Source organism: Homo sapiens, chromosome 4 (assembly GCF_000001405.40).
Source record: "Homo sapiens chromosome 4, GRCh38.p14 Primary Assembly".
Classification (NCBI taxonomy): Eukaryota; Metazoa; Chordata; class Mammalia; order Primates; family Hominidae; genus Homo; species Homo sapiens.
The window spans coordinates 118858911-118886350 of record NC_000004.12 but is presented as its reverse complement, the minus strand read 5'-3'; the positions used below and the strand labels follow the sequence as shown (position 1 = coordinate 118886350).

At 39.1% G+C, this 27440-nt stretch overlaps 1 protein-coding gene and 1 long non-coding RNA gene across 2 annotated transcripts in view, besides 1 other annotated feature; both read right to left on the bottom strand.

Annotated features, from left to right (window-relative positions):
• Positions 1-27440, bottom strand: part of SYNPO2 (synaptopodin 2) — a 210567-nt gene that overhangs the window by 174897 nt on the left and 8230 nt on the right. The window lies entirely within an intron of this gene.
• LOC105377393 (uncharacterized) lies at positions 1567-7162 on the bottom strand. Its single transcript, XR_939119.2, has 3 exons — positions 6227-7162; positions 2291-2453; positions 1567-2179 (listed from the first exon to the last, which is right to left on the bottom strand). It is a non-coding gene; the product is annotated as an uncharacterized LOC105377393 (long non-coding RNA).
• Positions 20969-21078: a silencer, noted in NCBI's record as "silent region_15653". NCBI's record gives its function as "represses an Ori minimal core promoter by ATAC-STARR-seq in GM12878 lymphoblastoid cells {active_cell/tissue: GM12878}" and the evidence as "EXISTENCE:reporter gene assay evidence [ECO:0000049][PMID:35858748]".

Here is a 27440-nt window from a genome sequence, read left to right as displayed (position 1 = left end):
ATGACGGGTTGATAGGTGCAGCAAACAACCATGGCACATGTATACCTATGTAACAAACCTGCATGTTCTGCACATGTATCCCAGAACTTAAAGTAAAAATTTTTAAAAAATGAGCTCTGAGAACAAAGAAAAAAAACACTTTCATATTTGTTCTTTTTACTTTTTCATGTCCCTTCTGCTCCTCAATCCACTCAAGTCTAGCTTCAAATTAGTGATGGTGTCCTCCTTAAATCATTTCTCCCTTAGGCTTCTTGGGCCCAGCAAGCTCTAGGCTTTCTTCTTGCCTCTGTAGCCACTCTTATCAAAGATTTATTCTGTGCAGGAACTTGAAATATAATGTTGTATTTATTTTCAAAGCAACCATGCTAGATAGGTATTAGTGTTTCTCTTTTACTGATAATTAACAGTGCTTTAAATCCTAAGCGATAGAGCCAGGGTTTGAACTTTTGTCTGCCCGAATTTGTCTGCCCTAATACCTATTCTTAATCATTGCTATTCTGCCTCCAGGTCTTATGTATTCCCTGATGCTTATCTCATGCAACCAATTATCCATTAAGACCTATGGATCTGGCTATGCGCAGTGCTGCATGCCTGTAATCCCAGCATTTGGGGAAGACAAGGTGGGCAAGGTGGGTGGATCACTTGAGGTCAGGAGCTCAAGACCAGCCTGGCCAACATGGTGAAACCCCATCTCTACCAAAAGTACAAAAATTAGCTGGGCGTGGTGGTGCACACCTGTAATCCCAGCTACTCGGGAGGCTGAGGCAAGAGAATTGCTTGAACCTGGGAGGCAGAGGTTGCAGTGAGCCGAGACCGTACCACTGCACTCCAGCCTGGGCAATAGAGCAAGACTCCATCTGAGAAAGAAAAAAAAAAAAAAAGACCTATGGATCTAACTTCTAAATAGTTTGGAAATCTGCTCCTTCCCTCATTTCCTACTCCTGGGACCATGTCTATCTCTGACCTGGACTTCAACAGTCTCCTAACTGTTGTCTCTATTCCAGGCTTGTTTCCACCCTCAATTCATTTTTTACTCCAAAGCCAGGGTGAAATTTTGAAATATAATGTCTATGTTATTTTTCCTATAGTTCAAATCTTCAAGGGCTCCCGGATAAAGTCCGAACTTTTTTACATGGAAACACTTTCTGCCTCCCACTACCTACTTCTTCCACCTTGTTGCTTACTACCCCTACCTTGAATTTGATGATTCAGACACACAGAAGTACTGTTCTTTTCTCAAAATTGCTTTTTTGTTTCACCTGCTTAGGCATTTCTCCAAGCTATTCAGTCCTTGTCCACACATAAATCACCTAATAATTTCTCCTCATCCTCCGGCCTCAGATTAGAGATCACATTCTCCAGGAGGACTTTCCCGACCTTCCTGGTGTCCAGGTTAGGTGTTCCTTCCACGTGCTACTATCACTCTGTACTTTCCCTCTCAGTCTAAAGGTCTCTTAAGTTGTCTGAATCCTATGCTAGGTTATTAACCCTGTGAGACTAGGAGTCATTGCTGACTTATTCAGAATTCTATCCCCAAGTCTAATAGCTCCTGATGAATGATTGGTGCCCAATTAATATGAGTAAAAAAAATAAATAAGAGTTCCCAGAATAAAGACATAGAAAAGAGAGACAAAGAGTTCTAATTTATTTTTTTGTTTACTTTATTAGACTTGGAACATTTGAAATAGACCAAAATTCCTCAATTATACACCTTAGAGACCGTGTGGAATAGGTAGTGGCCACCTCCCTAACATTCTATTTCCCATTGGTTAGTAGCTATTGGTTTAGGTAGAATTGATCCTCCCACCCCAGCAGTGTTGATCTAAGGCAATCAGAGTAATTATTCCTCCTTAACACAGAGATAGGTACAAAACCTGAGCCAAAATCAAGGAGATTTCCTTGGCCTGAGTGATTAATTCATGTATGCTCCAATCACAGGGAAGCTCAAGACTTCTCTGGATTGCCGTCAGGGCAAGGCCTCTTCTCCATGGATACTGATTTGCAGCCAATGGAGAAAGCCAATGTGAAGACAAAACCACCACAAGGTGTGTTGGGAGAGACAGTCAGTCCTTCATGGGTCTCTAGTGCTTCTATATGTCTTTCTGGGTATGCCAGAATGCAACGTCCTGATGCCTTTTTTCCTGAGCCATTTCTCAGGATTATGTTTATAGCAAGCAACCTTGAGAAAAAAGATAATATCTCAATCAGAAACAAAGAGCAGATTTGCTAACTCATTATTATAAAAGCAATGAATTATCTAAGCTCAGTGCCCCCTAGCTGTGATACAAACCCTCTGTGTGTGTAGCATCCATCTGGGTCATATTGTGTCACCCTTATGGGGCTTGGGGCAAGGTGAACTGATGCAAACATGCTGATGTTTCTGCTGCTTGCAGAGCCCTGAGTAGTAAAGTTCTTTGTCTCTGACCCAGAAGTTTAATATGTTCTTCCAGCACCTATGAAACAGTAACAAGCTAATTTAGTAGCCTGTAAAGACAGTAAAATCAAATCCCAGACCTAACAGGGTGAAACTGAGAAATAAGTAGAAAAATGAAACCAGAGCCCTGATCAAAGAGCACATAAGCCCGCCTCCTTTTATTTTATTTGGGTTTTAGGAATAAAAGCAAGAGAAAAAAAAAAGAAAAAGAGAAATCTATTTTCTAAAGAAAAAATGGCTAAAGTCATGTTGACAATGGTCTTCTGGGACTAACTCTAATTCTATGTTAAATCTATGTTAAATGATTTAACAACGTATCAGATACTTTATTTTATACTACCATTTATTCATTCACTCAAGTGATTATTTATTTAACAAATAATACCCATTCTATCTTTCCCCATTTTGATAGCACTGTAAGATTTCTGGGCCTAACATGAACTGAGAGAGCACATTATGAAACACATATATTCCATTAAGAACGACTTATTCTGCAATAATTTCATATTGGCTACCTATGCCTGGCTTGTGCCTCTTTTTTATTTTCCTAATTCAATTTTCACTCAAAAAACATCATTACTTTCCATTTTGAGCTAATGTTTATGACTGCTTCCTAATTATTCAAAGAACTAGAAGTTACTCTTCATTATGAATAAAATGGTAAAAATTTTTGGAGAAAAATAAAGCATTACAGCAAGGAAGTAAACATTATTATAAAATTATGTGAAATTTAAAATGGCAAAACCAGGAAAGATGCGTCATGATTTTAGTATCTAATGCAAGCCTAAGTCTTCCTGTCCTTTTGGGCCATCAAATCTTCCTGCTTATTAAAAGGCCTTTAAAAAAAAAAAAAACAGGCGGGGCGCGGTGGCTCATGCCTGTGATCCCAGCACTTTGGGAGGCCGAGGAGGGCGGATCACGAGGTCAGGAGATCGAGACCATCCTGGCTAACATAGTGAAACCCCGTCTCACTAAAAATACAAAAAATTAGCCGGGCGTGGTGGCTGTAGTCCCAGCTACCCAGGAGGTTGAGGCAGGAGAATGGCATGAACCCGGGAGGTGGAGCTTGCAGTGAGCCGAGATCGCACCATTGCACTTCAGCCTGGGCGACAGAGCGAGACTCCGTCTCAAAAAAAAAAAAACTAGCAGGCATCTTACAGCATTAGCTAATATATTTATGTGAGTGTGGTTTGAATGGCTCAACAAGTAAAAACCCCATGTATTAAAGCCCTCTTAGGATACATGTCTATTAAAAGTTTCATTTTCAGAAAGTATGCTTTATAAAGGTGTGTGGGGTGTGTGTGTGTGAGAGAGAGAGAGCACATATTTTAGGATAATGAAGATGAGATAAATAAACATATTAGGCATTTTATTTTTCCAAAAGATTGAAGGGTATTTGTCTGTAATGTCAAGGAATGAAATGACAATGTTGACTCAATGTCTATTGACTATAGTTTTGCTATTTTATGTTTTTTAATAAATATCGCATGTTTTACATTTTAAGAAATACTGAATTATCTGAAACAACAGAAAGAGTAAAGATAATTTTTAGGGAAAAATGTAATGTCAATGAATTACTGAAAATGAAATTTAAACAATAGCTTCTATATTTTTTAAGGAATCAAATCATTTTCTCATGGGTTGTGATTATTTGGAACAGCCGCTAAATTGTACTCCCCAAAATCAGTGTTAAAATTTGGAGCTTTGAAATAATGTATTTTTTTGTTGTTTCATTTTACTTCCCCCCAATAAAAAGTGACCGACAACAATAAGAGGTAAAATTATGTATATGGGAAGAAATTAATATCCCAGACAAAGACAGCAAAGTCTTTAAAATGCTTATTGTTAACTTCTGAAAGAAACATGCTGGTTGGGATTAATTGCAAATAACAGAACTTTATCATAAGTGCCAGATAGATCATCAACAGGATGGATAAACACTTGAGGACCTATATTTAATAGTTACGCAACTCTCTGATTATTGGAGAATCACGCATTTATCATGTGCTGGGCACACTAGAGGCTGATGCAACTGGAATACTTGTGTGGTTTCCAGGAATGAAACATGCGCACCTCCATGAAAAGCCATCTGAGCAGGTGGGGTGGTGCTCGGTAGCATTCCAAAGAGGGAGAGAACGAGCAGTGTGAAAGAAGATGCCCTCAGGCCCTACCCAAAACAACTTCCCTATGATCTATGTGCCGTCTCTCACTTGGAGGCCGAACGTGGCTTAGGGAAAAACTACCACTGCTACTACTGCCAGTGATTTAAAGTTCTGCCACAGAGGCTCGCAGTCGTAAGGGGACGCTCCCCAGCAACTCTTTCTTTTACACAAAGCCCAGGGCTGTTGCCTTGCTCCCCCTCGGGGCATAAGAAAGTGTATTACTGTGCTAGGGCTCCATAACAAACGCCACGGATTGGGTGGCCTAAGCAACAGAAGTTTATTCTTTCACATTTGGGGGTCTGGAAATCTGAGATCAAGGTGTCAGCAGACTGGTTCCTTCTGAAGCCTCTCTCCTTGACTTGCAGATGGTCACTTCCCTCTGGCTTCACATGGTCTTCCCTCTGGACAGGTCTATATCTTAACCTCTTCTTCTTCTTCTTTTTTTTTTTTTTTGAGACGGAGTTTTGCTCTGTCGCCCAGGCTGGAGTCCAGTGGTGCGATCTCGGCTCCCTGCAACCTCCACCTCCCGGGTTCATGCCATTCTCCTGCCTCAGCCTCCTGAGTAGCTGGAACTACAGGCGCCCGCCACTACACCCGGCTAATTTTTTGTATTTTTAGTAGAGACGAGGTTTCACCGTGTTAGCCAGGATGGTCTGGATCTCCTGACCTTGTGATCCGCCCACCTAGGCCTCCCAAAGTGCTGGGATTACAGGCATGAGCCACCACGTTCGGCCCTTAACCTCTTCGTATAGGAACACCAGTCATATTGGATTAGGGCCCACCCTAAAGACCTCATTTTAATTTAATTATCTCTTTAAAGATCCTTTCACAAACACAGTCATGTTCTGTTTTACTAATAAATATTGCATGTTTTACATTTTAAGTAATACTGAATTACCTGAAACATCAGAAAGAGTGAAGATAATTTTTAGGGAAAAATGTAATGTCAATGAATTACTGAAAATAAAATTTAAATAGTAGCTTGCATAATTTTTTTTTTTTTTTTTTGGGACAGAGTCTCGCTCTGTCGCCCAGGCTGGAGTGCAGTGGCGTGATCTCAGCTCACTGTAACCTCCACCTCCGGGGTTCAAGCAATTTCCTGCCTCAGCCGCCCAAGTAGCTGGGATTACAGGCAACAGCCACCACGCCCAGCTAATTTTTGTATTTTTAGTAAAGATGGGGTTTCACCATCTTGGCCAGGCTGGTCTTGAACTCCTGACCTCGTGATCCAACTGCCTCAGCCTCCCAAAGTGCTGGGATTACAGGCATGAGCCACTGTGCCCAGCCACCTTCTATGATTTGAAATGAACAAAATCATCTTTTTCATGGATCATGATTATTTGGAACTGCCACTAAATTATACCCCCCAAAATCAGTGTTAAAATCTGGAGCTTTGAGGTACTGGAGATTAGGTCTTCAACATATGAACTTGGAGGGACATAATTCCCCCCATAACAAGAATGCACAGCATACAGATAGCCTAACTGCTTATTAGTTTCTTCCCAATGCACAAAGTATATAAAATGACCAGACAGAATAATTTTTCACATTTTGATTGTTTTGTTGGTCCTTCAGATTTTCTCCTTCTTCTTATTCCGAGCAAGTAGCCAGACCCTTACAATTTCCTTACCTCAGGGACTTTTGCTGAGCAGGAAAAGAAGGTGGTAACAGTGATTCCCAGTTTTGTAAAGCCTAACCTTCACGAAATGATGATGCAAGGGGTCTCAGAGGGAGAGGAAAGAAAGGGGAGCACCGTTGAGAGAAATAAGGAGGGATTCTGTCCTGACAGGGATGATCTGCTGCTCCTGGGTCTCTAAAGTAGTGCAGACCTCCATGCTGCTGACAGGCAACAGGCCTCAGAGGCAAACGGTTGCAGGGTCTCGGAGGGAGGCGGGACATCAAGGGCAGGGCTGCCAACCCCGCCAACATTCTTCAGCCACACGCATGTCACAAAAGTTGCAGTTACGTACCTGACTGCTGGCCAAGACCACGGACAGTTCAGTGACCAGTGAAGGCAAATGATTGATGACCAGCTGCTCTGTTGAACCCCAAGACCTTTGCAGCCCCTCGTGTTTTAGTCTCTTTGGACTGCCATAACACAGTATCATACGCTGGGCGATTTAAACCACAAAAATGTGTTTCCCACAGGTCTGGCAGCTGGGAAGTCTAAGATCAAAGGGCTGCTAGGTCCACTGTCTGCTGAGTGCCCTCTTCCTGGTTTGTAGATGACTGTCTTCTCATTGTGTCCTCACATAGAGAAAGATCATCTCTCTTGTGTCTCTCGTCTTACAGGGGCACTAATCCATTCACAAGGGCTCTATCCTCATGAGCTAATTACCTTCGCACAGCCCCACTTCCAAATATACACTGGGGATTTAGGATTCAACATATGAATTTCAGGGGAGACAAAAACGTTCAGTTCCCCAGAGCCTAGGGAAAAGGAAGCTCTAACCCTCTCTGAATTGGCACTTCTGTGTTCAGAATTGGTTCATTCCAGTGGGTTCATGGTCTCCCTGACTTCAACAATGAAGCCACGGACCCTTATCGGTGAGTGTTACCGTTCTTAAAGATGGTGTGTGCAGAGTTTGTTCCTTCAGATGTTCAGATGTGTCGGGAGTTTCTTCCTTCTGGCGAGTTCTGTGGTCTTGTTCACTTCAGGAGTGAAGTGGCACACCTTAACAGTGAGTGTTACAGCTCTTAAAGGTGGTGCCTCCGGAGTTGTTCATTCCTCCCTGTGGGTTCATGGTCTCGCTGACTTCAGGAGTGAAGCCACAGACCTTCGCAGTGAGTGTTACAGCTCTTAGAGGTAGTGCGGACCCAAAAACTGAACAGCAGTAGGATTTACTGCAGAGAGAGAAAGAACAAAACATCCACAAGACAGAAAAGGACCTGAGTGGGTGCCTCTGCTGGCTGGGGTGGCCAGCTTTTATTCCCTTATTTGGCCCCACCCATGTCCTGCTGATTGGTCCATTTTGCAGAGTGCTGATTGGTTCATTTTACAGAGTGCTGATTGGTGCGTTTTTACAGAGTGCTGATTGGTGTGTTTACATACCTTTAGCTAGACACAGAGCACTGATTGGTGCGTTTTTACAGAGTGCTGATTGGTGCGTTTATAAACCTTTAGCTAGACACAGAGCGCTGATTGGTGCGTTTTTACAGAGTGGTGATTGGTGCGTTTACAAACCTTTAGCTAGACACAGAGCGCGGATTGGTGCGTTTACAATCCTTTAGGTAGATGGAAAATTTCTCCAAGTCCCCATCTGACCCAGAAGCCCAGCTGGCTTCACCTCTCCCTTCCACCAACTCAGTGAGATGGAGAACTAGGGTTGAAGTAAATTGATTTAAGTGATAAAATAATATTCTTTTTGTTTTATTTCATCTTATTTATTTTTTAACTTTTATTTTAGGTTCAGGGGTACATGTGCAAGTTTGTTTTACAGGTAAATTGCGTATCATAGGGATTTGTGCACAGATTATTTTGTCACCCAGGTAATAAGCATAGTGCATAGGTGGTTTTTCAATCCTCACCCTTCACCTACCCTCCACCCTCAAGTAGGCCCTGATGTCTATTGTTTCCCTTTTTGTGTCAATATGTACTCAAAGTTTAGCTCCCACTTATAAACGAGAACATGCGATACTTGGTTTTCTGTTCCTGTGTGGTTTGCTGAGGATAATGGCCTCCAACTCCATCCATGTTGCTGCAAACGACATAATCTCATTCTTTTTATGGCTGCATAGTATTCCTTTTTCTATATGTACCATATTTTTTAAACCAGTCTAATGTTGACGGGCATTTAGATTGATTCCAAGTCTTTGCTATCGTGAATAGTGCTGCAACGAACATTCACATGCATGTATCATCTTTATGGTAGAACAATTTATATTCCTTTGGGTATATACCCAATAATGGAATTGCTGAGCTGAATGGTAATTCTGTTTTAAGTTTTTTGAGGCATTGCCACCCTGCTTTTCATATTGTCTGGACTAATTTACACTCCCACCAGCAGTGTGTAAGTGTTCCCTTTTCTCCACAACCTCACCAGGATCTGTTATTTTTTGACTTTTTAATAATAGCCATTCTGACTGGTGTGAGATAGTATCTCATTGTGGTGCTGATTTGCATGTCTGTAATGATCAGTGATGTTGATCTTCTTTTCATATGCTTGTTGGCCGCGTATATGTCTTCTTTTGAAAAGTGCTTGTTCACGTCCTCTGCCCACTTTTTAATGGGGTTCAGTTTTTGCTTGTAAATTTGTTTAAGTTCCTTATAGATTCTTATTAGACCTTTGTCAGATGCATAGTTTGCAAATATTTTCTCCCATTCTGTAGGTTGTCTGTTTACTCTTTTAATAGTTTCTTTTGCTGTGCAAAAGCTCTTTAGTTTATTTGGGTCCCGTTTGTCAATTTCTGTTTTTGTAAAAATTGCTTTTGGTGTCTTCCTCATGAAATTTGCCTGGTCCTATATCCAGAAAGGTATTTCCTAGGTTATCTTCCAGGGTTTTTATAGTTTCAGGTTTGATATTTAATCCATCTTGAGTTGATTTTTGTTTATGGTGTAAGGAAGGGGTAAAATAAGATTCTTGAGCAAACTGAAAACACATTTATGTGCTTTTAAGTTTATAGTTCATTCATTCATTTGAAAAGCATCTGAAGGCCAGGTGCAGTGGCTCCCTGCAATCCCAGCATTTTTGGAGGCTGAGGCAGGAGGGTCGCTTGGACCCAGGATTTTAAGACCAGCCTAGGCAACATAGGGAGACCTTGTCTCTACAAGAAAAAAAAAAAATTTAATTAGATGGGCAGAGTGAGCATAGTGGCATGTACCTATAGTCCCAGCTACTCAGGAGGCTGAGGTTGAAGGATTGCTTCAGGCTGGGAGGTCAACGTTGCAGTGAATCATGATTATGCCACTGCACTCCAGTGCAACAGAACAAGACCCTGTCTCAAACAAAAAGAAGGAAGAAAGAAAAAAAAAGAAAAGGGAAGGAAAGGGAAAGAGAGAGAGAGACAGAGAAAGGCAGAAAGAAAGAAAGAAAGAAAGAAAGAAAGAAAGAAAGAAAGAAAGAAAGAAAGAAAGAAAGAAAGAAAGAGAAAGGAAGGAAGGAAGGAAGAAAGGAAGGAAGAAAGAAAAGAGAAAAGAAGGAGGAGGGAGGGAGGGAAGGAAAAGTATCTGAACAAATAAATGCTGTGTGTTGTTCTAAGTTCAGGTGACCTACCTATGAGCCACAAAGGAAAGATGCCTCCTTGGCATCTTGGAGACTACATTTTACTGGAGAAGCCAGACAATACATAAGTAAACAAAAGAGTTTCAGAGGGAAATGAGGGTTAACAAAGAAATAAAGCAGGGTGATATGGCAGAGCGCGATGGGAGTGATGCAACACATAAGGTGATCAAAAACCCCTCCCTGAGCTGAGACACAAATAGCTGAGACACAAACTGACAAGGAGACAGTTACTTGAAAAGCAGGAAGAGTGGGAGGCAGGGCAAAAACATGCTTTGTCAACATGAAGAACAGATGAAGACTAGTGCAATTGAAGTGTGGTGGATTCCTCCCTATTACCAGAGAACAATTTAATACAACGTTGACGAAGCTGAGCCTCTTGGACCCTCACTTTCAGAATCCCTTCAAGAATCTGAAGGACCCCAGCATGTGCTCACATGTTCATATGCCTTTGTAAAATCTGCCAAAGTAAAATACTTAAACCAAATTTGGTTAAGATTTTTGTCAACTCTAACTTCCCCTTCTCATGGTACTGGAGTAGCCGTGAGCAATTTTGGAATCCAAGCTAAACGGAAGATGAGTTGAGGATTTGTTCAGTTTGGGTTTAGTGGAATATATGTATGTGGTTTAATTGCATTCATGTAAAGTTATTGCCACTGCCCATTGAAGAAATGAACAGCTTCCAGTCATACTTCTATCATGTGCCAATTCACCCAGTGTGGAAACATTAACGGGCAGAGGTTTACCACAACACCAACACATTGTAAGATGCAGACACTGTAAGTATTTGGGTAGTGGAGGAGAAATAAAGTTGAAATGTACAGAGCCAGAAGGTAGTCTTTGGAAAACGCTTCTAATCATCAAAAATAAAAAATGTCAGTGAAGGATTCATCTCTTATTAAGGTGTAGTCAAATACAAAGGACTCCCTTTTCAGGAACATGCTAGATAATGGAAGCACACACAATCATAATCACATGATACATTTTTATGGCTATTAGGAGAAATATAATTTATCAGAATTCCTGTTTTGGGGCACAAACCTGCAGCCATGTTACAGTGATGACATCTGTATAGGAAGTTGCATGTTGTGTACAATCCAATGATCAATATTAAAAAACTAATTTTGATAAACCATGCTAGAGGTTAATGTAAAATATGATATTACAAAATTATTGTCATATAAAATATCAGAGAGAGTACTCAACCAAAAAAATAGAGAAAAAAGTATGTCAAATGGTTAATAAAAATACTGTTATTCCAATCTAAATGCCCATCAATGATAGACTGGATAAAGAATATGTGGTACATATACACCATGGAATACCATGCAGCCATAAAAAGGAATGATATCATGTCCTTTGCAAGGACATGGATGGAGCTGGAAGCCATTATCCTCAGCAAACTAACACAGGAACAGAAAACCAAATACCGCACGTTCTCACTTGTCAGTGGGAGCTGAATGATGAGAACATATGGACACGTGGTGGGGGAACAACACACAATGGGGCCTGTCAGATGGGGAGAGCATTAGGAAGAAGAGCTAATGGATGCTGGGCTTAATACCTGGGTGGTGGGATGATCTGTGCAGCAAACTACCATGGCACACGTTTACATATGCAACAAACCTGCACATTCTGCACATGTACCCCCAAAGTTAAACAAAAAGTTGGAAAAAACTACAGTCATGTATCTGAATTTTGTGTATTTTTGCAGCATTGTGTGTTTGTGGTATTTTTCATCTTTTAAAAAACTTGAAATTTTTGTTTTTTTTCTCATTTTAAATAAATATCCAGTTTCATGTTTAATTTTATAATTATAATTTGTATTATTTTTCTTAAAAGCCCTCCACACCACCATTGAATTGTAACAGTTTAGACCCCACAAAGCCTCTATCTACTCTTTCCCAGTTTACTTACAGCAAGGAGGTCCACAGCAGGGAAAAAAGGCAAAACTTATCCAGCTATAAAAAGAGCCATGGTTCAGTCACAGGGCTAGTTTCAGATATATCAGATGCACAGTTGTATCACATGGTGTCCACTGGTTTTAGTTCCAGTTTATTTTGATTTTTTAAATATATGTCACACAAATTAGGAGAGAATTTTGCCTTTTAACAGGGATTAATTTGTGTAATTTTTTCCATAGATAAAATCAACAGTCTTTAGATTATTATTATTTATTTGGCCCTCTTCTGACCTTTTAATTTTCCACATCATTCTTCCTATCCCATCTGTTACTTTATAGCTTTACAAAGTGAATTAAAATGTCTGCTTTGCCCTTAGGCTTCTGGAAGCTAATAATGTTAAACATAAATAACATTTACATTTATAATGTCAAATGAATATTTCAACAGTTGCAACAGTAGTATTTAAAATGTCTAATAACATAACATTACCTGACTTCAAATTATACTACAAGGCTATAGTAGCCAAAACAGCATGGTACTGGTATAAAAGCAGACACATAGATCAATAGAACAGAATGGAGAACCCAGAAATAAAACTACATATTTATAGCTGACTGATCTTTGACTAAATAAACAAGAACATACACTGGGGAAAAGGACACTCTTTTTAATAAATGCCGGTGGGAAAAGGACACTCTTTTTAATAAATGCCAGTGGGAAAATTGGATTGCCATATGCAGAAGAATGAGTCTGGGCTCCTCTCTCTTACCATATACGAAAATCAACTCAAGGTGAATTAAAGACCTGAAACTATAAAAATGCAGAAGAAAACCTAGAAAAAAACTCTTCTGAATATTAAGCTAGGCAAAGAATTCATGACTGAGACCTCAAAAGCACAGGCAACAAAAACAAAAATAGACAAATGGGACTTAATTCAACTAAAAAGCTTCTGCACAGTAAAATAAATAAAGCGAACACACAACCTGTGGAATGGGAGAAAATATCACCAAACTATATATCCAACAAAGGACTAGTATTTAGAATCTATAAGGAACACAACTCAAAAACAATAGCAAATAATAATAATCCCATTTAAAAATGGGCAAAGGGTATGAATAGACATTTTTCAAAAGAAGACATACAAATAGCCACTAGGCATATGAAAAATGCTACACATCACTGATAATCAGAGAAATGCAAATTAAAGCCACAATAAGATATTATCTTACATGAATCAGAATGGCTACTATTAAAAAAACAAAAACAAAAAAATAACAGATATTGGAAAAATGTGGAGAACAGGAAACACTTATACACTGTTGGTGAAAATGTAAATTAGTACAACCTCTGTGGAAAACAATACGGAGATTTCTCAAAGAACTAAAATTAGAACTACTGTTTGATCCAGCAGTCTCACTACTATCTGCCCAAAGGAAACGAAATTATTATATCAAAAAGATACCTGCACCTGTGTGTTTGTTGCAGCACTATTCACAATAGCAAGCGTATAGAATCAACCTAAATGTCCTTTTATGGATGATTGGAATGACTGGAGAAAGAAAATATGTGTGTATGTGTGTGTGTGTACACACACACAATGGAATACTATTGAGCCATAAAAAAACAAGTGAAATTATGTCTTTTACAGCAACATCGATGGAACTGGAGGCCATTATCTCAAGTGAAACAACTCAGACAGAAAGACAAATACTGCATGTTCTCACTTATAGGTGGGAGCTAAATAATGTGTACACATGGACATAAAGTGTGGAATGATAGATAATGGAGACTCAAAAGGGGGAGGGGGTGAGAGGGTGTGGATGATGAGAAATTACTTAATGGGCATGTCACCAGAAAAAGGGGTATGATCCAGATCCCAAGAGAGAGTTCTTGGATCTCATGAAGGAAGGAATTCAAGGTGTCTCAGAGTGCAATGAGGAAAGATAGTTCACTGAAAGCTACTCAGATACATAGTAGGGTGTCCTCAGAAAGCAAGAGGAGTAATGCCTGGTCTTTAAGTTTTTCTTATGTAGAAGTCTTATCTGCGTAAAAGTTAAGCTACCTTTACATGTGGGTGGGCTGACAGCATGCCAAAATTTATTATTTTGCTAACTTAAAAAAAACTATTCTTGCCATTTTAATACATAAGTACATCAAAGCATGACTATAATCATTTTTAAAACATGCATTGTTATGCAATATCACGGCATCTGGATACTTTTTTTGTTGTCATAGGAGTTTGTTCTTGCAGGTATTTTTAAGCTGCTTCTTAGCCACAAACATCTTATGACCACGGGTTGTGACTGGCAAGGAATGTGCCTTGCTTGCTTTAAGTTGAAGTTGATTTTAAAATAGTGTCACCCTGGCTCTCCTATGCTCCCGTTTCTATAACAGGTACAATGTACGTTATTCAGATGATGGATACCTTAAAAACCCTGACTTCACCACTGCATAATATCTGCATATAATAAAATTACACTTGTATCCCATTCATTTACGCAAAGAAAAAAAATACCTAATAAGTAAAATAAATAATGCTAATGCATTCCTGAGTGAAGCTTTATATCAGAGCCAAATTTCTTAAATTGGGAATCACTTTTAACTGACTAAGGCAAAAGCATGATACAAATTGCTACATTTGTTTCACTGAAAGATGTTTTCCAGACTAAACCATACTGTGCTCTCAACAGGTCACAGGCTTGCTATCTACTCTGCCTTCAGAAAGCTGCTTTGACCCAGTCATTCACTTAACAATTGATTATAGGCCAGGTGCGGTGGCTCACGCCTGTAATCCCAGCACTTTGGGAGGCCAAGGCGGGCGGATTACGAGGTCAGGAGATCGAGATCATCCTGGCTAACAATGTGAAACCCCGCCTCTACTAAAAATACAACAAATTAGCCCGGGCATGGTGGCAGGCGCCTGTAGTCCCAGCAACTCGGGAGGTTGAGGCAGGAGAATGGCGTGAACCCGGAAGGCGGAGCTTGCAGTAAGCTGAGATTGTGCCACTGCACTCCAGCCTGGGTGACAGAGCAAGACACTGTCTCAAAAAAAAAAAAAAATTGTTATTTATTTCAGGCATTGTCCTAGGCACAAGGGATATAGAAATTAACAAGTCAGACAAGGTCCAAATCTCCTACAAGCACATATTCCGGTAGGTAGAACAGACGAGAAATACAAATAACCCTATGTTTTGTCACATGGTGGCAAATGCTATGAAGAAAAATAAAGATGTGATATGTGCAGGATCTGGAAACAATTCTTTAAAAAAAAAAGAAAAGAGGCTGGGCACTATGGAGTCACTCCTGTAATTCCAGCACTTTGGGCAACAGAGCAAAACTTCATCCAAAAAAAAAAAGAAATAAAGAAAAGAAAAATAAAGATACGAAGGTGTGGGGAGGGATGTGGTAGAGGAAGGTTGGCTACTCCAAGGAAAGCTATCTGTCATGTGGAGGTGACATTTGACCTGTTTGGTGTTGATGCACTGTTAGGGGTTGTTATAAATTTAAATCATAAAAATATTTTGACCAAACAAGGTGCTGGGTATACATTCTTTACAGAGATAGGACAGGTAGGTATGAGAGCCAAGGCTTGGCATGAATTCAAACCCTAGCTCTGCTGCTGATTTCTGCAGTCTTGGGTGTCACTTGTCTTTCTGAACCTTGATATTCTCCTCTTTTGAGCTTGCTGTGAGTGATAAATAAGATTTTTTAAACATCTGCTTTTTAAAAAAATTTTATTTTAAGTTTTGGGATACATATGCAGGATGTGCAGTTTTGTTACATGAGTAAATATGTGCCATGGTGGTTTGCTGCACCTATCAACCCACCACCTAGGTATTAAGACCTGCATGCATTAGCTATTTATCCTGATGCTCTCCCTCCCCCATACCCCCTACAGCCAGAATGGTGATTATTAAAAAGTCGAGAAACAACAGATGCTGGTAAGGCTGTGGAGAAATAAGAATGCTTTCACACTGTTGGTGGAAATGTAAATTAGTTCAACCATTGTGGAAGAAAGTGTGGCAATTCCTCAGAGATCTAGAGCCAGAAATGCCATTTGACCCAGCAATCCCATTACTGGGTATATACACAAAGGAATATAAATCATTCTACTATAAAGACACATGCATGTGTATGTTCATTGCAGCACTACTCACAATAGCAAAGACTTGGAACAACCCAAATGCCCATCAGCGATAGACTGGATAAAGAAAATGTGGAACATCTGCTTTTTAAACAACTGCCTGACATATAACAACTGCTTAATAAATCTTTCCTTAAACCCTCCCTTTGCTGTCTCAAATGGTCCTCTCTGGATAGAAACAAAGCTGCCTCTGAAGGGGGAAGGATCCCAAGCTAACAGCTGAGAGTTTCTGGAAGGAAATGACTTTTCCTTGTGGGCTAGTGCAGCAGGCTTCCTGCAAAAGTGAGGAATTTCCTAGAAAATTGCTAATTATTACAAGGCAGCCAACAGGCACTGAGCAGGCAGAGTAAAACAGCAACCACTGAGTTTGAAGAGTAAGTGTTCAGCTGACCAGATTTCATTACTCCTCCCAACTCTGTAGCAGGCTTTGGAATTAGGCCTGAGTCTGCCAATAGATCAGGAAAGTCAATGCTCACACCGTGCTGAAATACTGGAGGTATTCCATTTATTTCTGTTGTTATTGTTGTGGTTATTTGTAGTGATGTCACTTTTTGACTCAGAATGGTTTCTCATTCACTCATAGGTTTCTCACAGAACCATCAATTTGTAGAAACATCATCATACCTTTGAATAGAATTATGAAATGAGCAAGGTAACCGTGGCTGAGATTTCATTTCAGCTCTCTTAATCCCCAGCATTTAGAATGGTGCCTGAAACCCACCAGGAGCTCAAAAATATTTGCTGACAAATCAGCTGTCCTATCTCCCAGTTGTAAGTTTTTTCCACTGTATTGTATATCCAGGCTTAATGAAATTGCTAAACCAGATAGGAACTTGGGAGTTTTTTTTCCTGCCCTTCAAGTAGAGGAATCTCTTGAACTTCCAACACGGCCAGTCAACCAATTCTATAGGCCCCAGGCTTTGAGTTAACTGAATGCAATCATGGCCCTTCAGTGAATATGCATGAAATGAAATTGCATAGAATCAAATTCAGTTAAATGGAAACACTAAATGTAGGCTTAAATGAACATATTAAATCTGGTTTAAATTTTATATTTCCAGATTTCAACGTTTATTGACTAACAAGTAGAGTGACAAAAAAACAATAATTCTTACACTTCTAACAATAATTTTCTTAGGCTGGGTGCAGTGGCTCATGTAATCCCAGCACTTTGGGAGGCCAAGGCAGGATCACCTGAGGTGAAGAGTTTGAGACCAGCCTGACCAACATAGAGAAACCCCGACTCTACTAAAATTACAAAAAATAAGCCAGGTGTGGTGGCGCGTGCCTGTAATCCCAGCTACTTGGGAGGTTGAGGTAGGAGAATTGCTTGAACCTGGGAGGTGGAGGTTGCCGTGAGCGCCATTGCACTCCAGCCTGGGCAACAAGAGCGAAACTCTGTCTCAAAAATAATAATAATAATAATTTTCTTTTTGCAATCCTACAGTGATTATAAACATTCAGCCCCACCATGTGTCATTTGCTAAACTTTCTGGGAATAGACGACAACAGGCAGCCAGGCAAGCACATCTCCTGCGGTCATGCTGGAATCAGTGGGAAAGCAAGCCAGACTCTTAAGCCCCTCTGTCCACATCAGTGGCACATAGGAAAAGGTAAAAGGAGGTCACTTAGGCCATTTTCCTAGCAACATATTCAGGGTATTTTCCTGTAGTTTGTTTTCTAGCACTTTGACAAATCTGGCCTTAAATAAAGTATTTCCTTCCATTTTCCTTCTTTCTAACTTGGGTAATTACGCCAGCATCTAAAAGGAAAAATTTGCCTGTCATTCGAAGTACAACTTCCAGATCTCATTTCATTATTTCTAGTTACACTCTTCCTATTACTATCTTTTTATTCCTTTTTCATGTTGATACTAGTAATAATTAAGATTATTGGGAATAAGGCCATCATATATGAAAAATTCCTTCTCTTAAATGATTTAAAATGTCTTTCAAAAATCCTTTCTCTTTTTAAATAAAAGGCAGATTTCTTTATCAAAACATTGATGTGATGTTTGAAAAAGTAATCTGTTCTGCCAAATATCTGTAAAATTTCAAAAAAAGTAAAAATTTTTTGAAAGGCATCCATTAACCTACATGAAAATTTGCACAAATTGACAATTTTAAAATGTAATGTTATTATTATAAGAAAATTTAATTCACAGGTGAAATATGTGAGATACGTTGTTTCTTATGTATATCATTCATGAATGCATTTTAAAAAATCCAATAATCACCCAAATTTAGAAAATCAGTTTGAAAAACAATAAAATCTAGACCAGGTGTGTTACAGTTTTGGAGAAATAAAATGTTTTACAAGAGCATCTAATTTTTTTTAATATGTAAAATTCAACAGAACCATTGCACAAAAAAATTTAAATAAGATTTTGTCTCTTACTCCAATATTTTTCATTAAATACGTAGTTTTTTTTTTTTTTTTAAATGAAAGGAGGGGAGGAGTAGATTAGGTCACTGCAACTTTTTTTCCTATGAAGTACATGTTTTTATTCAAAGTTAAACATGACAGAGACTGACTGTAGGGAAATGTTCAGTCCAAAAACACAATCAGATAATGATCATTGAAACTGATTTTACTTCATTTTTTCCGAATTCATCTTATCCTGCCTTAATAATAAATGAAATCCAGATGTTGGAATGATGCAAGATACTTTGCTTTAGATCTAAAGCAGAGGCATGCTTTCTACTAAGAATAGTGTTCATTTGAAAAACAAACTAGGTTTTTTGAGAAAATTGTTTTGACCAAGGAACTCCTGGCATATAATTTTTTCAGAAGAAGGTCAAACAACATGTAATGTGTTTAATGTAAAAAAAATACATGAGGAAAGATGAGTAAGTAACCACTTTTAATAAATACACTGATTTTTTAAATCGGTAGGCATGACTGATTTGTACCGAAGCATTCATTCACTATGTCCTATTCTCTTTGTAACAAATAATTACACTTTTGCAACAGGGTAGTAAAGGTTACAGAGGCAGTCTAAGACTGAAAAAAAAAAAAAAGAAAGAAACTAATAGGAACCACAAGGAATTATCTCTATAATGGTAAAACTAAACCCTTTGGCATTATTCTTTAACCACAGCATTTGGCTCACCCAATACACAATAATACAGGCAGATACAGTAAGATCTTTCATTGCATCTAGTTATTTGAAAGAAAACAATTAAGTTCAATATATATTTTTAGGTAAATCTGAGAAAAGTTAAATATGAAGTCAATATATTAGATACTGTAGATGCAAACTCTTGGTTCTTTTAAAGTGTTTAAGGTCTAGAGCAAACGTTCGCAAACTATGGCCCAGGGGTCATATGGTCTCTGTGGAAACTATTCTGTGGTCTTAGTGCAAAAGTTGCCATAAGCAATATGTGAATGAATGGGTGTGAATGTATTGCAATAAAACGTTATTTCAAAAAGAGGTAACAGCTATATTTGGCCCCTAAGTTTCAGTTTGTTAACCCCTCAGTTAGACTTTAAAAAAAAGGAGAACTAAAGAAATGAATAACTTTAAAAAGTTCTTTGAAATTCTGTTTCTGGATATTAGGGTGTATTAGTCCATTCTCACACAGCTATAAAGAACTACCTGAGACTGGGTGATTTATGAAGAAAAAAGGTTTAATAGGCTTACAGTTCCACATGGCTGGTGAGGCCTCATGAAACCTACAGTCGTGGCTGAAGGAGAAGGGGGAGCAAGCACATCTTCACATGGTGGCAAGGGAGAGAGAAAGAGTGAAGGGGGAAGTGCTGCACAGTTTCAAACAACCAGATCTTGTGGAAACTCTATCATGAGAACAGCAAGGGGGAGGTCCACCCCCATGATTCAATCACCTCTCACTTTGCAATTCAACATGAGATTTGGGTGGGGACACAGAACCAAACCATATCAAAGGGGATATGTTTCAGCAGAAATAAAAACTCCCACAAAGGAGTACTAGTAAACCTAAGAAGTGCTCAACCAACTAGGGCCAGGTGGTGCCAAGATTCCAAAGAAGGGCAAGAGACTGAGAATATGAGCTTTGCTTAGAGATAGAACTGTGCTGGGAGCAAAGAAATCGGCAAAGCCTTGACCATTTTCGTGGTGTTGGAGCAGTCGTTCTCAACCAAGGGTAGTTTTTCCTCCACAGCACATCTGACAATGTTTGGGGACATTTTTGATTGCCAGGTTAGTGTGGGGGTCGGGGAGTGGGAGGGCGTTCCTACTTGGATTTAATGAGTAGAGGCCAGGGATGCAGCTAAACATCCTACAATGCACACAATGGGCTCACACCACAAATAATGAATTATCTGGCCCAAAATGTCAATAATACTGCAATTGGAAAACTATGGGCTACAAAGACAAAACTGGAGACAAACATACACATGCATCAAGGGGTTTATAATTCTTATTCCTGACTTTGGCTCAGATGTTTTCTCAAACCATTTTGTTAGATTCTTACAGTCTCTGGTGTGAAATGTTTCTGTCCCTATTAAATTCTACACATGAAGTGTTGTGAATCAGCTTCACTCTCCTGGGTTCCAATCCCACACCAGCCACATTCATTCTCAGCAGAACACTTTATCATTTACCTTATGATTTGGTTACAATTATCCTACAAACACTCTTTCTACTTTCTTGTTTTCCACATAACTTCACCCATTGTTTTCCTTAATTATAAAAGAGCATCTCTTCTTTATTAAGGAAATGCCTTATCAGTTCTCTTTCCCCTATTCGAATAAAAATCACTTTTTTTAACCGTGCTTTTTCAGGTTATTCTTTCATCTCCCTCCTTCCTCCTGTTTCCAAAGTTTTGAAAGAGTAGTCAATAAGTACTGCATCTACTTGATTATACCCTAGCATCTGTTTCAGTGACTCTGTAAACACTCTCAGCCAAATCTCAACCATAAAACAAAGATCTTTCTTCAGTCATAACCCTTGACACTGTTTAAAACTTCCTGTGTCCTTCTCTGACACTTACCAACCTGATTCTGTCATCTTTTATTGTCCCTTCACCATCCTACCCACTAAATATGCTCCACAAGATTTTAATGCTTCTTGTTTCAATTATCAAACGTGTCTGTTTCAAATCCACCCTTCCATATTCGGCTTTATGGTGCTTCAGCACAAAAATCTCAAATCGCCTTTCTGCTTTGCCAGCTGCTCTATGTCATGTCTGTCAATAGATGGCACTAGACAGAGAGACTGCATTGCCAGAACAGAGAGAGGAGACTTGCTCCTACCTGCTTCCAGTTCCTACCGCAGTGAGTTCCAGTGGCAGCTGCTGATTCCAGTGCGTAGCTATTCCAACACTTGCAGAACCAGTCTCCTCCAGCCTCCTCCAAGACTCCAGCAATAGCTGTGGCAACCCCCTCCTAAGATGTCTGGCCTGGCCCCACAAATTCCCACCTTCAAATTTCCAAGTTTTATTAATTCCAACATATTCCTTTTGTTCCCTCAGACCTCTGGGGGCAAGGTTTGGGGGAGCTGCTTCTTTGAGTTTCTGCCTTTACGATGCCTTGATATTCATATTTGCTTTTCAATTATTTACTAATAGAGCCAGTAATAAATAGAAATATATATAATGTAGCTATCAGTATCTTACTTATTCAACAGGATATTATTGTAACTTGGCCTGCAAAAAACACGTTTCATCTATAAAGACACACATAGGCTGAAAATGAAGGGATAAAAAAAGATATTCCAAGCTAATGAAAGCCAGAAAAAGAGCAGGATTAGCTATATTTATATCAGACAAAACAGATTTCAAGACAGATACCATAAGAAGAGACAAAGAAGATCACTATATAATGATAAAGGGGTAAATTCAGCAGGAGGCTAAAACAATTGTAAATAAATACATACCCAACACTAGAGCACGCACCCGGATATATAAAGCAAATATTACTAGAGCTAACGAGACAGACAGATCGAAATACAACAATAGCTGGAGACTTCAACACCCTACTTTCAGCATCAGACAGATCTTTCAGACAGAAAATCAACAAAGAAACATCAGACTTAATCTGCACCATAGGCTAAATGGACCTAATAGATATTTACAGAACATTTCATCCAACGGCTGCAGAATACACATTCTTTTCCTCAGCACATGGATCATTCTCAAGGATAGACCATATGTTCGGTTATAAAACAAGTCTTTAAAAAATTTAAAATAGTATCAAGCATCTTCTCCGACCACAATGGAATAAAATCAATAATAAGAGGAATTTTAGAAACTGTACAAACACATGGAAATTAAACAATGCTCTCCTGAAAAATTGGTGGGCCAATAAAGAAACTAAGAAAGAAATTTAAACATTTCTTGAAACAAATAATAATGGAAGTACAACATTCCAAAATCTATGGAATACAGCAAAAGCAGTACTAAGAGGAAAGTTTATAGCTATAACTGCCCACATCAGAAAAGAAGAAAAACTTCAAATAAACAAGCTAGTGATGCGTCTTAAATAACTGGAAAAACAAGAGCAAACCAAACCCAAAATTAGTCGAAGAAAAGAAATAATAAAGATCAGAGCATAAATAAATAAAATTGGAATGAAGAAAACAGTACAAAAGATCAATGAAGCAAAGATGGGCACAGTGGCTCATGCCTGTAATCCCAGCATTTTGGGAGGCTGAAGCGGGTGGATTACCTCAGAAATTTGAGACCAGCCTGGTCAACATGGAAAAACCCCTTCTCTATTAAAAACGCAAAAATTAACCGGGTGTGATGGCTTGCGCCTGTAGTCCCAGCTACTGGGAAGACTGAGGCAGGAGAATTGCTTGAACCTGGGAGGTGGAGGTTGCAGTGAGCCAGGATCACGCCACTGCACTCCAGCATGGGTGATGGAGCAAGGCTCTATCTCAAAAAAAAAAGATAAATGAAACAAAAAGTTGATTTTTTGAAAAGTTAAGCAAAATTGACAAACATTAGCAGAGTAAGAAAAAAGAGAGAAGACCCAAATAAATAAAATCAGAGATGAAAAAGGAGACATTACCAAATGATACTGCAGAAATTCAAAGGATTATTAGTGACTACTATAAGCAACTATATGACAATAAATTGGAAAATCTAGAAAAAATGGATAATTTCCTAGACACATACAACCTACCAAGATTGAACCAAGAAGAAATCCAAACCCTGAACAGACCAATAACAAATAACAAGATTGAAGCCATAATAAAAAGTCCTCCAGCAAACAAAAGATCGGGGCCTGAAGCCTTCACTGCTGAAGTCTATCAAACATTTAAAGGACAAATACAAATCCTACTCAAACTATTCCGAAAAATAGAGGAGAAGGGAGTACTTCCACAATCAATCTATGAGGCCAGTATTGCCCTGATATCAAAACCAGACAAATACACATTTGAAAAAAGAAAAGAAAAAGTCCGGGTGCAGGGGCTCACGCCTATAATCCCAGCACTTTGGAAGGCTAAGGCAGGTGGGTCACGAGGTCAGGAGTTCCAGAGCAGCCTGGCCAAGATGGTGAAATCCCGTCTCTACAAAAAATACAAAAATTAGCCAGGTGAGGTGGCGGGAGCCTGTAATCCCAGCTACTCGGGAGGCTGAGGCAGGAGAATCGCTTGAACCCAGGATGCGGAGGTTGCAGTAAGCCGAGATCATGCCACTGCACTCTAGCCTGGGCGACAGAGCAAGATTCCATTTCAAAAAAGCAAAAGAAAAAAAAAAGAAAGAAAGAAAGAAAAGAAAACTACAAGCCAATATCACTGATGAAAATTGATGCAAAAATTCCCAACAAAATACTAGCAAACTGAATTCAAACACACATTAAAAAGATCATTCATCATGACCAAATGGGATTTATTGCAAGGATGCAAGGAATGGTTCAACATATGCAAATCAATCAATGCAGTATATCATATCAGCAGAATGAAGGATAAAAATAATATGATCATTTCAATTGATGCTGAAAAAGCATTTGATACAATTCAACATCCCTTCATGATAAAAACTCTCAAAAAACTGGGGATAGGAGGTATGTACCTCAACATAATAAAAGCTATGTATGATAGATCCATAGCTAGTATCATACTGAATGGGGAAAAATTGAAGGTCTTTCCTCTAAGATCTGGAACACCACAAGGATGCCCACTGTCACCACTGTTATTCAACATAGTACTGGAAGTCCTAGCTAGAGCAATCAGACAAGAGAAATAAAGAGCATCCATACTGGAAGGGAAGAAGTCAAATTATCCTTGTTTCAGATGATATGATCTAATACTTGGAAAAAACTAGACTCCACCAAAATCTATTAGAACTGATAAACAAATTTGGTAAAGTTGCAGGATACAAAATCAACATACAAATATCAGTAGCATTTTATATGCCAACAGCAAACAAAATGAAAAAGAAATCAAGAAAATAATCTCATTTACAATAGCTACAAATAAAATACCTAGCAATCAACCAAAAAAGTGAAAGATCTCTACAATGAAAACTATAAGACATTGATGCAAGAAATTGAAGAGGACACACCAAAAAAATGGAAAGATATTCCATGTTCATGGATTGGAAGAATCAATATTGTTAAAATGTCCATACTACCTGAAGCAATCTACAGATTTAATGCAATCGCTATTGAATATCAATAACATTTTCCACAGAAATAGAAAAAAAAATCCTAAAATTTATATGGAACCACAAAAGACCCAGAATAGCCAAAGCTATCCTGAGCAGAAAGAACAAAACTGGAGGAATCACATTACCTGACTTCAAATTACACTACAGAGCTGTAGTAATCATAACTACATGGTATTGGCACAAAAATAGACACATACACCAGTAGAATATAACAGAGAAGCCATAATAAATCCATACATCTACAGTGAACTCATTTTCGACAAAGGTGTCAAGAACATACATTGGGGAAAGGACAGACTCTTCAATAAATGGTGCTGGGGAAACTGGATATCCATATGCAGAAGAAAGAAACTAGACCTGTATCTCTCACCTTACACCAAAATCAAATCAAAATGTATTTTAAAGACTTAAATCTAAGAGCTCAGCCAGGTGCAGTGGCTCACAACTGTAATCCCAGCACTTTGGGAGGCTGAGGCCGGCAGAACACAAGGTCAGGAGATCAAGGCCATCGTGGCTAACATGGTGAAACCCTGCCTCTACTAAAAATACAAATAAAATAAAATAAAATAAAAAATTAGCCGGGTGTGGTGGCGGGTGCCTGTAGTCCCAGCTACTCAGGAGGCTGAGGCAGGATAATTGCTTGAACCTGGGAGGTGGAGGTTGCAGTGAGTCGAGATCGCACTCCAGCCTGGGTGACAGAGTGAGACTCCATCTCAAAAAAACTAAGAGCTCAGACTATGAAACTGTTTAAAGAAAACATTGGGGAAACTCTCCAGGACATTGGAGTGGGCAAAGATTTCTTAAGTAATGCCTGGCAGGCACAGGCAACCAAAACAAAAATAGACAAATGAGATCATATAAGTTAAAAAACTACTGCACAGCAAAGGAAACAGTCAACAAAGTGAAGAGACAACCTATGGAATGGAAGAAAATATTTACTAACTACCCATCTGACAAGGGATTAATAACCAGAATATGTTAGAAGCTAAAACAACTCTATAGGAAAAAAAATAGAATAATCTGATTTTAAAAATAGTCAGGCTGGGCACAGTGCCTCATGTCTGTAATTCCAGCACTTTGGGATGCCGAGGCAAGTGGGTCACGAGGTCAAGAGATCGAAACCATCCTGACCAACATGGTGAAATTCTGTATCTACTAAAAATACAAAAAATTAGCTGCACTTGGTGGCATGCACCTGTAGTCTCAGCTACTAGGGTGGCTGAAGCAGGGGGATTTCTTGAACCCAGGAGGCTGAGGTTGCAGTGAGCCAAGATCACGCCACTGCACTCCAGCCTGGCAACAGAGTGAGACTCCATCTCAAAAAAAAAAAACAAAAAAAAAGGCAAAAGAGGCCAGGCAGTGTGGCTCACACCTATAATCCCAGAAATTTAGGAGACCAAGGCAAGTGCATCTTTTGAGCCCAGGAGTTTGAGACCACCCTGGGCAACATGGCAAAACCCCATCTCTACAAAAAACACAAAAAGTAGCCAGGTGTGGTGGTGCACGCCTGTAGTCCCAGCTATTCAGGAGGCTGAGGTGGGAGGCTCACTGGAGCCTGAGAGGTCGAGGCTGCAGTGAGCTGTGATCATGCCACTACACTCCAGCCTGGGCGACAGAGTGAGACCCTGTCTCAACAAAAAGTGAAGTGGCGGGGGGGTTGTGCACAAAAGATATGAATAGACATTTCTCAAAAGAAGACATACAAATGGCGTGAAAAGGTGTTTAATGTTATTGATCATCAGAGAAATGCATATCAAAACTACAATATCATTTCACACCAGTTAAAATGGCTTTTATCCAAAAGACGGGCAGTCACAAATGCTGACAAGGATATGGAGAAAAGGAAACCCTCGTACACTGTTGGTGGGAACGCAATTAGTACAACCACTATTGAGAACAGTCTGGAGGTCCTCATAAAACTAAAAATAGAGCTACCAGATGATCTAGCAATTTCACTCCTAGGTATACATCCAAAAGAAAGGAAATCAGTATATCAAAGAGAGATCTGCACTCTCATGTTTATTGCAGCACTATTCACAATAGCCAAAATTTGGAAGCAATGTTTGAAGGGCGCATCAACCAATGAATGGATAAATAAAATGAGGTATGTATACACAATGGAGTACTATTCAGCCGTAGAAAAGAATGAAATCCAGTCATTTGCAATGACATGGATGGAACTGGAGGTCATGAAATAAGCCAGGCACAGAAAGATAAACATTGCATGTTATCACTTATCTGTGGGAGCTAAAACTTAAAACAATTGAGCTAATGGAGACAAAGAGTAGAAGGATGGTTACCAGAGGCTGGGAAGGGTAGTGGCAGGGGGTTGGCTGGAGGTGGGCATGGTTAATGGGTACAAAAAAGTAGTTAGATATAATGAATAAGACCTGGTATTTGCTAGTATGACAAGGTGACTAGAGTAAAAAATAATTTAGTCGCACTTTTAAAAATAATTAAAGAGTAGAATTGGATCATTTGAAACACAAAGGATAAATGCTTGAGGTGAGAGATACCCCATTTACCCTGATGTGATTATTATGCATTACATGCCTATATCAAAATATCTCATGTAACCCATAAATATATACACCTATTATGTACCCACAAAAATTAAAAATTAAAGATTTAATTTAAAAAAATTTAAAAATAATGTAACTTGCTTTTATCTTAGAACATTTTTGAGCTTACTTTTCCTCTAGTCGACACAAAGGATGTATGGAAATTTGCTGTTGATTTAGCACATTGATACTAAACATGGATAAAGAATCTAACATTATCTTTGGTGTCGATAAAAGCCTAGACTCATCTGGAATCTTTCCATGCTCATGGATGTGTCCATGTTATAAGATGCCAAAACTTTAAGACTTGGCCTCTAAGATTTCATTGAAAGCCAAGTTCACCCTCCCATGCTTCTAGATAACGCCTCCACTACTTATCATGGGATGTGGGTGGTTATGATGTGGGGGCAGGATGGATATAA